Below are 12,239 nucleotides of genomic sequence, written 5' to 3'. Positions count from 1 at the left end.
TTAAAACAATTGGTGACCTTTACCGAGTTATATTTATCTTGATTACCAATCTCAGTTTAGATCTGTTCTAGCAGATTGGCCTAATGTTTTGTGTAGTGTTATGATACATATTATTTCATGTTTTTAAAAGAGTTTCATAATTATCTTTGCTTATGTTTAGGCTGCTTGGAATTAAAAGAGGACACCATTGAGAACCTTCTTGCTGCAGCGTGCCTTCTTCAGCTTCCACAGGTGGTGGAAGTGTGCTGCCACTTCCTCATGAAGCTTTTGCATCCATCTAACTGTTTAGGAATTCGAGCCTTCGCAGATGCTCAAGGATGCATTGAGTTAATGAAGGTGGCCCACAGCTACACAATGGTAAGGAAACTTAATGTTTTAATAATGGAGACACACTCTGTGTTATCAGAGGTAAAAATAATTACTGTCATGGCATTAGCAAGTTTTTTAAGTTTAAAATGAGTTTTCTATGCTTGGCACATTTTTTTGTTATGAACTATAGCGTACCATAATGTATTTTCTAATTTTAAAAAACACATTCTATACTGGATTTATTGTTCTTTTGTGGATTTATTTTTTATTTTATTTTACATTTATTGGTTTATCATAAAAGACATTGCAAAGGATACAGATGAAGAGATGTGTAGGGTGAGGTATGAGGAGAGGGGCGCATAGGCTCCAGGCCCTCCCTGGGCACATAACCCTCCAGGAACCTCCACGTGTTGCATTCAGGAAGCTTCTTTATGGCTTTATGCACACTTAACAGGCAATACAGATATACATATTGATAGATATTAATAAAGTTATTTAAACTGATTTTCAAAATTGCCCCAGGCATATCTACCTTTGTACATTCACTTCCACAGCTGCCCTTTTATACATTTTTCTGCATTTTTTAAACCTCTCCGTCACAGCATATTGTACTTGGTGTGGCTATGCCAGTATGATTTTATGGAAAAAATTGAAGCCTATTTTATATTTTTCCCTTTTATTCCCTGTATGTGTGTGCGTGTGTGTGTGTATATATATATATATATATATATATATATATATATATATGTATGTATATGTATATATATGAGTGTGTATATTTAACAGCTTTGTAGAGAATCTAAAAGCCATTTCAATTGTACAGTTTAAATTTGTGTACTTTATAGCATGGGATTTTAAAAATATTAATTCCATTCTAGGATAGAATAACCAGTTACAAGTCTCATACCCATCATATTACCTATCCTAGAAATAATCATTCTAAAAGCATTTAATAGCATGGGTGCCTGGCATAGACGCCCTGTATCAATGCTACCTATTTTTACTGTGATATTATTATTCATATTATTAATGTCTTCATTGTTATTATTGAAACAACTAATGAAGTCTTATGGAAATTTTTGTCTCCAACTCAAAGAAAGAATTAAAATGAGATAAATATTGTTAAGCTTTATGGTTGCTATTTATTTCAAATTGAACACTTTTTCTAATTGCTAATGAGTCAACCACTTAAAAGTATTCTGATTGCCATTTTGAAACAGAGTTTCAAAATTATTTTCTTTTTCCTTTTTAATCCTTTAAGCAGATTACTAAATTAAATGAAAATATAGAAATAAAAGGAAGAAGATATGCAATTTGTAATTCTATTGGCAAATCCTTCTTTAGAAATTTTCCATGACAGACACGATGCTACCTTTGAAATTATGTGAACCATAGCAAATCAAAGTAAACAAATAATTCATCAACCAAAATATCAAAGTCCAACTGCCACCATTTAATTAGGCACATTTCATTAACTTTAGGAGCTCCTGGCTTAACTAAGCCAAAGAAAAATATGCCTCCATATCCAGAGGGATAATGGTCCCTTCTGGTCTAGTTGCAAATTATTAATTTAATAATGAAAATATTTTCCTTGCAGCTGCTTGGACTATTCTGCAATTTATCGCACAATAGTAACAAATTTTTTTCTTCAGAGACTTTAAAAGGTATGCTTCATAGGAAAATATATTTAAAACAGAAAAATAGAAGATTTCTAAGGTACTCAACATTCTGAATGACTCTAAATTAATTTATTTCTTAGACTGTGATATATAATATCTGCTGAAATTTAAATGATTTCAAATTATTTTGAAAATGTGATGCTCTGGTATTCTATAGATGTTTATGGTAACCATTTTAGAGAAAAATTACTGACCAGTTGTCTTCCCAGATCTATATTGTCCCTTCAGTTCCAGCAGTTTAAAATGAGTGTTTTGCATCTGATAATGTGATTTATCATCACATATTTGCCTCTGATCCTTGTCCAATCAGGCATATGTTCTCATCTAATCTACCCAATCTGTGCTTTGAAAGCAAACATATTGTGTGTGTTTTTTTTTCTCCTTAACTGCTTTAATAGCAAATCATTCCATTTTTTCTACTACACGTGGGATAGAATTAACTTCTCTCCTGACTGTAATTATTTGTCTGATTGCTTAATACATAAGGAACACTTTCAAAATTTTTAAATTTCTTGCCCAAACTCTTTAGATGTAAACTTGATCTTCAAAGACCAAAGGTCTGGTCTACCCAGACTTTAATTTGCTATCTATATTTCTCTTCTTTATTATTTGTCATCTTTCCTTTGGAAATTTCACTTATGTATTTGGCTTCAGCTACTGAATTTGTGCAAATAATTCCGAAATCTTTTGGGAAGGTGACTCAGCTTGGCAATGAATCATGCAAAATACTGGAGAATTTTGATTGCGAGCTCAGCATCAGGTAGAAGTGTAAAATTAATTCTGAAACATTAATGTAAACTGTGTCTGCATGAATATAGAGATAGCACCAGAATAGCAGCACTGAAGGAAATAGTCTCATTGTACTCTCTTAGATTATATTATGAAATTTGTGCTTAATTCTGGATATAACATTTTAAAAGCAGTAGAGAGTGGCAAACGGAAACAGATTAGAATAACAAGAATAGTAAATTTTATGTGGTTATGAAATATGAAGAAAAGTTGAAAAAATGGCTGCCTATGCCAGAATAAAATTAAGGCATGACAATAACTGTCATATATTTGATAGAATGGACTTGTGTTTAAAGCAGTGGTCTTTAAGTGTTTCTCATTCTGTTTTTAAATTTATTTTACTAATGCAATTCTCTGTTCAAATTAAATATTATATCAAAGTATAGTTTTAGAATTGATCTGCTTTGGGTAAAGATGGGCAGAAAGTCCAGAGTCAACTTCCATCTCCAGATCTTTCCTTCCCTGCTGAGTTGTCAATTCCCACTGGTCATCATTGCTACTTCCCTCCAAAGTCAGCTCTGCCTTTTGGGGGACACACGTGGAACATTTTTATCCAGCAATCCTTTCTCTAGATGGTTTTTGGTTAGATCTTGCCAATAAGAGGCATTCATGTAAGATATGAAAGCTGGAAGAGAAGCAGCAGCCATTATTCTCCACGGGCAGTTGCAGGAAGATATGTAGGTAAATGGAAAAGTAAAATAAGTTACAAGCGAGTGATCAAAGCTATTTACCCCACTGTTGCAGGCTGACACCATTGTTGGGAGGCCTCTGGAGGTTCTTGAGGAATGCAGTGTCTTTGCAGAGTGCTTTTGAGAAAATTCATGTTGAAATGAAGGTTGAAATCTTCAGTAGAAACTTCCCTGACCTTCATAGTTTTTTCAATGGCTGTTTAAACCTTCAATTCTCTATTCATATCTTTTAAACTTAGAACATTGAGTGTTTTATTTTCTTAATTAAAAAAAATTCAAAACATGCTTCAACATAGCATCATAGCATGTTCAATCTTCATTTTTTTTTTTTTTTTTTTGAGATGGAGTCTCGTTCTGTCTGTCACCTAGGCTGGAGTGCAGAGGCGTAATCTCCACTCACTGCAACCTCCGCCTCCCAGGTTCGGGCAATTCTCCTGTCCCAGACTCCCAAGTAACTGGGACTACAGGCACCTGTCACCACACCTGGCTAATTTTTGTATTTTTAGTAGAGACGAGGTTTCACCTTGTTGGTCAGACTGATCTCAAACTCCTGACCTTAGGTCATCCACCTGCCTTGGCCTCCCAAAGTGCTGGGATTACAGGCATGAGCCATCACACCAGGCCTCCATATTCTGATATACATAGTCCTCCACACCTACCCTCTAAGCTGCTACCCAGGCATTTTTCCTCAATGTTAGATGCAATTGCTCTCATTCCTGCTAAATATGTGTTGTATGGTTCCTTCACTCTTACTTAACTCAGACCTTCCTCTTGTTGGAATCCATTATCAAATTCTGAATAATCTCTCCCTGTTTCTAGTTCAAGTTCATTCATGCCCAAGAAATATCTTTAAACTTTTCATGGCATTAGCTCTCACAAATGAAATCCTAGTATTCCTTTCTTTAGGATTGTGTGATATCATAAACTTTCTTATACAATTAATTATTTTTATTTCTTTGTGACTAGTCTTTACAAATATATTGCGGATTTCTTTATGACAAGAGAAGAAGCATTCTCCATTGAATTTTTTTGTTCCATCAAAGTGTCTAGTATCTTGTAATACATTCATCAATTCCCTGTTTCTCTTGGGTACTTTTGCAGGACTTTCTTTAATTTACTCATTCAACAAGACTACAAGTGTGTGCCTTTGACATTTTTAAAATCACATTTTCTGCTATTATTTTCCCTGTTCATACAGTTCTAGCCACACTGATCTTCTTACTGTTTTTTGACAACACTAAGCATAACTTCACTTGTGGAGTCTTGTGCTTGTTCTTTCTTCCCTCTGATGGAAATACTCTTCTGCCAAATATTTATATCTGTTTCTTCTCTACCTCATTCAGATCTTTGTCAAATGTTACTTCTACAGAGACTCATTCTCTGAAAACTCCATGTTATGTGCCAGTACCTTCAAAACTCTCTATTCTCTTACACTCCTTTTTTATTTTTTAGAGTCCTTGTTTAGTTCCTGGCTTTATAATATATATTTGTTTTTGTTATTGTTGTTTTTGTTGTCTATCTGCTCAATTAATATAGTAGCTTCTTGATAACATAAAACAACTTTTGTAACATAAGTGCCTAGATAAATCTCCATATATACGATTAATTACTGAATGAATAAATGAAGGTATAGTGACTATTGACTGCTATGTACCAAGTTCACCAGTAGGTGAACTATGTACCAAGTTCACCAGTGGGTGAACTATGTACCAAGTTCACCAGTACCAACTATGTACCACGTTCACCAGTAGGTGGCACAGGAAATGCAATGGTGAACAAAATAGAAATGATATTGCCCTTAGAGTCAAGGTTAATATATTGAATGAAAACAAATTATCATTATAAAGTATAACTATTTATGCCTATATATGTGTATGTGTATACTTTATAATACTTTATAATGATAATGATACTTTATAATGATAATATGTATATATATACATATATATATATATATATATATATATACACATGCACACACACACGGTAAATTTTACAAAGAAAAATTATGAGACGCAATGGGAACCCTCCCATAAATCAGGAAAAGATTCCTTAAATAAATGATGTTTATATGAATTGTAAAAAATGAGGTAGAATTAGTCAGGTGTAGATTTGGTTAAAGAATGTTCATAACAGAAGAAAATGGATTGCCAATGATCTGAAGTGGGAAGGCAATTGTTCTGTTTAATGAAATTCAAGGTAGATGGGATGGTGGAGAGGGACAAGAAGAGAGGTAGTTTATGAGGCTGAAGATCTAGGCAGAACCAATTGTGTAGGGTTATGGAGACTTTGTAAAAACTGGGGATTTATCTGGAATATAATAATATGCCATTGAACATTTTGAACAAGTAAGGACAAAGGTTTAATTTTAAGATGAGTTATCAGACTGACATAAAAGGAAGGCAAGAAGAGAAACTAAGAATAGAGATTAGTATACCCTAGAGGCGTATACACCCACTCACATAATTTGTTTATAATGATAAATTATCATTATAAATGACAATTACATATGCCTATATATGTATGTATGTATACGTCTGTGTATACATATAGGTAAATTTTACAAAGAAAAATTATAAGATGTAATATAAGATGTGATATATACTCACATCCACATATTCGGAGACTGAGAAATAAAAAAGAGAGTGAGGTAACGCTACCTTCTGCCATCGTGCTTGGCACATAAGCAGCAGCTTTACTGATGGCGAGCCTTACCACCAATGATGCTGGTGATGGCACACATAAAGTTTAAAATATTGTCCTATTGCCACTATAATTCTAGGTGTTAAATATATTAAATTTACTCCTTTCAAAATCCCTGCAAGGCAAGTGTTATATCCATTTTAAAAACAATAAAACTGTGATTCAGGATTGTTAAATAATTTACTCAGGATCAATAGATAGACATGCTAGAATGGGATAATAAACCCAGTACTATCTCACTACAGATTTCATGCCCTATTCAATATGCTAATGAATATACCGTGATTACATATTGCCCATAATATTAAGTCGAATTCCTGATACCGAGACACAAAATATGAATTCCTTCAGACAAATGGATATTATGAACCTGAAAGAGAAATAAGACCAAAGAACTTTGTGATTTTTTTTTCTCAAGTATTTTTTTTTCCCCCTTCTCTGTTTTCTGTCCGGTGCTACCAGTATGACTTAGAAGATTTCATTAGGTTTAGGCTGGAGGCAGAGACGGTGGCACTAAGACTAATTAAAGGCTGCCTTGTTCATAAGTAGCTTTGAAGGGTGGAAGACTCATACCTGCAGCATAAAGCCTTCCAGAGTCAGTGTAAGAGTAGCTGCCCTTTCAGAATCTGGTAGTAGTAAAAACATGCTATACATCCTTCACTTGTCCTTTAGAGCCACTGGAAAAAATACCTATAGAAAGAACAAACTATATCAATGTGGTTTGTGATCATGGTTTTAAAATACCCGACATGTTTCATGGTTTCTAGCTAGCTACATGCTTTTAATCTTGACCAATAACCCTGCTAATAAACCATAAATTAGAGTTTGCCTTAGAAGAATATTTGGAGTGTAACTTTAAATATTCTTGTTTTATAAGTCATACAAATAAAGTTTACTTCACCTACATTTTTCTCAAGACTATTACATGATACATTAGTATTAAATGATTTTTAATGTTATCTTTTTTCTTTTATTTATCATTTTGTGTTACTCCTTTTCAGTGTCTCACATGCCTTCGTGGTCTTAGTAACTAGTTATATATAATTGATGAGTTGAAAATTACCAAAATTTGACTTTCAGCATGTCTTTGTAAGTATATATGAAATGAAAAGGTCAGGGTGAGTATAATGAACGTTTAAGGGACAATGACTAGTGATGTTTAATGTTGAAAAGAACTAAGTAAAAATGTGGCAGGCTGGGTACAAAGGAAATTTCTCTTCTTCCTCTGTTTTTGTTTTTGTATTTCTTAACATTCTTTGTCCCTGAATTAGATGGAGAACTCTTTTTTTATGGTTATCAAAATCAAATTAATAAAATCAAATTAATTAACACATCAATTGCTACCCATTATGTAAATTAGATCCCTAGAACTTGTTCACTATTCTTTACAGGCAATTTGTACTCGTGTTACAAATTGGAGTCATTGGTAAAATTAGTGTCCTTATTTGCATATTTTTGTTTTATTCTATTTGTTCTACTGAGCTTCGATTTCTAAAACATTAAGATATAACACATAGCTATATAAAGCTGCAACACACACACACACAAGCACAATATATTAAAAATATCTTAGGTACAGTAGGTTAAATTTTTTAAGAGCTGTCATAGGTCTCAAGTTGATGCTGTGGCAACAATATAACTAACAAAGTTTCAAGAAGGAATACTAAACATTTTAAAATATCCTGTAAACACACATTTAAACTTATAAGTAGTGCCTAAATATTTAATGATTTCAATCATTTAAGATGTAGTATTCCCTTCTGGATAAGAAACATTCTTACATTATTAGAGTGATTCTAAAAGGACTTCTTATGATATGTCAGAAGGAAGAAATGTCAGGGTCTTCCAGGGTCGTTTCAACTTATAAAGCACAGTCTTCCACAAATAAAATCAATAATTTGCTTTTTTTAATGAGAAAAAAATCTGTTTTTATACATACAAAAATCCCCCTTTATAATAATTTGCCTATCATGAACCAATGTTGTAAAATATTTATATTTTCTGATCAGGTAAAAATCAGTTATGCATAGAGCTAGACTGTATAAGGCAACACACAGCTGTCCAGTTCACAGCCATATTCTTAATGCTTAGTATAGCACCTGTCTCATTTTAGGCACACAATAATGATATCTGAAAGAAAGAATAGATGAATAAGTACTTTCGCATATTAATAATTTGAAATATACAATTAGATATCATAATCTTAAATATGAATATAAGTAATTTGTAGTAAAATATTTTCTCTGCATCCTACAATAATTTAAAATATTTTTGTGCCTAATTTTATTATTGTACCTCCTCATTAGAAAATTTAATAAGAAACAAATGCATAACAAGATGCATCCATGATGATTAAAATTCATTAACTTTTTTCTATTTATTTCAAAACTTTTTAACAGGTAACATAATTTCCCATCTAATTTCTGTTCCTGTTTTTAAGTTAAAATAAGTGTCAATGGATTTATTTTCTACTCAGTGTCTGTGTTCAATATTTTTGTTTATTTCAAATAAATGGTATCCTTAGTTAAGTTTTCATTTCATTGAAGTATCACCATACTATTGAGGAACAAATATAAAACCTAGTGAGCCAACAAAGAGGTCACATACTAAAGGAAGAAATAATACTAAGCCAAATGTGTTATATTTTCCTATGATTGAAGATTATATAAAATAACACATCATAATAGAAAATTGCTGGATAATAGTAAGTAGAAAAGGACAAAACTTTAAAGAACGGGATTCAAAGCCAGACCAATGTACTTTAGGTTGGGAGCTTATTTCCAATAAGCAGTCATGTTTTATGCAAGACAAAGTTAATTTGGGCAATGTGATGATAGGGAAACTTCAGCTCAATTAAAATTGTGTGATTTACAATTAGCAAAATAGGTGATTTCTTAAAGATAATGAAGAGCAAACACTTTTCAGCAAAATGAACTATTTCACCAATAGTAAATCTTAGTAGATTTATTTAACACTGAGTAAATATTCAGGCTAGATATTATAGTAACCATTTCTTAAAGACAATTTTCACATTAGTTGAATCTAAAATTAAAATTACATGAAGAGGTTTCCAAATATATATAGATGGAAATTAGTTTCTCTGCAGTTATATTTGAAAAGAGAGTAAGTGAATTATCATTTTATAAAGTAGTGTTTCTAATTTGACGTCTGATATATGGGTAAGAATATATGATAGTAACAAATTAAGGTGGTAATAGTACATACCATGAAATGTAAAAGGTAGTTTTACAAGTAAATATTATATATTGCAGTTGAGCTAGAAGAAAATTGATGAAGTTAAAATCAGGGCTTTTTATATGTAGTCACTGATTAACGCATATATGCATAAATTTACATACATAAATAGACACCTGTATCAGCATTAACTGAATATATAAATCAGAAAAAGGCTGTAGTTTTAAGGAATGAATTCTATAATGGCCTTAGTTTGGATTGTTTTAAAAATCCACACTTTCCACAGATCATGTATTATACACTTGTGTGATCATTATCCTACTAACTTTCACATTTTATGCTTTTATAAATTTGATACAGAACTAGAAAAAGCGTAAATAATATATAAACAACAATGGCATATTGCCTTTATTAGTTAAGTTTGCTTTGTTGTATGTGCAGGAAAATATCATTTGAGGATGCATTGATATAGTTTTGTATTCTTTGGAAGGAGATTCACAAATTGTATTTTCTTAATTATTCAGCAAGACTATCAGAGAGTATGTCATAAAATATTGAAAACTTGAAAATCTCAACTATTCTCAAGTACTCTAAAGCTTGGTTTTTAAGTGACCAATGATGTGGTGTGCATTTGAAAAGCTTTTGGTACTTTGTAATGGTTTAGTTGTCAATAGACTGCAACATCACTTTGCACAGAATATTATTTTACTAGAACATTTAGAATAAAAAATACCTTGATGAATTCACTTGAAATCCATCATAGTAAATGGATGCACTTTCTTTTTCTTTCACATTTTTTACATCATAAAATGCTCTGAGGATTATTACCTTAATTTATCTCATGAAGGCAGAAATATGAGTGATTTATTTCATATAAAACTTGCTAATAAACATAAGCTAAACAACAGGATCTATAAATTTCTCAAAGTGCATCTTTGGAAACCTAGGCAAAAGAGATGTGAATCAGTGATGCTACTATTTCCAACCTAAAATAAATAATTTTTCTGATATCTTAACAGCTGAAAAATTTACCAACTTCCCAAATCAGCTGGAGCGAGCAGGATAACACCAGCCAACCATCAATTCTTCATTCAATAGTAGCCTTCAATATCAGACAACATTATTAAAATATATTTATTTTATTGATCAAAGAACAAAGTCCTGAGTATATATGGTAATCAAGAGTTGCCATTGTTTTATTTAGAAAAGGCAATGTAATGTATATCAGAATTTTATTTTGAAAAGCCCATAATCCCGTGCAAATAGTTTTGTGGCCATTGCTGTTTTAACCCAAAAATATGACTAATAATGAAATTATTTTACAACTAGCATAATATATTCTTAGCATTAAATATTGATCTAAAATTTAATTAATAAAATACTAGAATTTATGACATTCATTGAAGTTCAATTTTAAAATAATATATGAGATGATACAGCACCACCAAAATTAAAGGAAAAACATGTTCAAAATCTTGGCATAAGTAATCCAAGTAATTCCAACTAGGTACACATAGACTAAACTAGATAACTTATTAAGTCCTTCTTTAAACCACAGGCCAAAAGTCTAGGCTACCCCTTTTAATTTTACCCTGAATATGTTTTTACTCTTCTGTTTTACTGTAGACCAACAGTCTTATTTTTACCTCAATTATTTAAATTTTTTTATTATCTTCCCAATTACTGAAGGCGTTTGAGATTTCAATACCTACTTTGAATATAAAATGAGATAAAACACAGAATAATTTCAATTCTTGAAAACCAGAAGGCTTGACGTTTTAACAATGTTTAATACAACTGGGTGTCTTTGAGTAGCTCACTTGATGTGTTTATCATTAACTGTGAAGCAATGAAGTTTGTTTAAGATCGCCAAAATGGTCCTTTGTGGTTCTTTGCAGCTTATGATTCTACAAATATCTTGTTAAATCTTAAATTTTATAAAATGCAAATGCATGTCTGGATAATGTTGATAAGTGCCGTCTTGTCATTAAGTAATAAAACTGTTATGTCCCCACAAAACATTATTTGAGCATAAGAGATGATCAATAATTGGTGAAGAATGAATAAATATTTTTCTACTTTCAAATTTATATCTTTTATAATACATCGTGGAGATATGACTTATATACCATACAATTCACCAATTAAAATTATACAATTTAATGCCTTTTAGTATTTTCAGAGTTGTGCAACTATCACCACTATCACTTGTAGAACATTTCAATCACCTCGCCAAGATACCTCTACCTATTCGCTCTCCATTTACCTCCTTAGGCTAGGAATAATCTACCTTCATCTATATAGATATTCAATTGATGGGCATTTAATAAAAGTGGAATCATACAATATGTGGTTTTGTGAGATTTGATTTATTTCCCTTAGCATAATATACTCAAGACTCATTTATGTTTTACCATGTATCAGTAATTTATTTATTTGTATTGTGAAATACTATAGCATTGTATAGATATGCCTCATTTTATTTATCCATTCATCGGTTGATGGACATTTGAGTTGTTTACACTTTGGGCCCCTTATGAATAATGCTGCTGTAATTTTAATAGGTTTGTAGCCCAATGCCCATGGCAAGTTAATATGCTGAGATACCTGGTTGCAGCAGACAAAGAGGTTTATTCATACGGCTGACATATGAGAAGATATGAGGAAACCTCAAATCTGTCTCCCTGAAAAGTTAGGGAATCGGATGTTTAAGTTTTTGAGTGGGCTGAAGTGTGGAGATTGTCAATTGGCGGGAAACTGCAAGGTGAAGTTATGGAACAAGGAGATGAAGAAACTATTCTGTAGCTGATGATTTTCCTCTATGAGAGTCTTCAAACAGGTTGGCATCAGCTGTTCCACTGGAATTCAGGTTCTG

At 31.9% G+C, this 12,239-nt stretch overlaps 1 protein-coding gene across 4 annotated transcripts in view; it reads left to right on the top strand.

The window, feature by feature from the left end:
- The window catches only part of KLHL1 (kelch like family member 1), a 407,856-nt gene that overhangs the window by 168,056 nt on the left and 227,561 nt on the right, over positions 1-12,239 (top strand). For all 4 annotated transcript variants that reach the window (NM_001286725.2, NM_020866.3, XM_017020678.3 and 1 more), the window contains one exon: positions 161-357. In NM_001286725.2, coding sequence (NP_001273654.1) covers positions 161-357 — 197 coding nt within the window. The remainder of the gene's footprint in view (positions 1-160; positions 358-12,239) is intronic.

The sequence above is a fragment of the Homo sapiens genome, chromosome 13 (genome assembly GCF_000001405.40).
Source record: "Homo sapiens chromosome 13, GRCh38.p14 Primary Assembly".
NCBI lineage: Eukaryota > Metazoa > Chordata > Mammalia > Primates > Hominidae > Homo > Homo sapiens.
The sequence above is the reverse complement of the archived record's forward strand: the minus strand, read 5'-3'. Positions and strand labels throughout refer to the sequence as shown.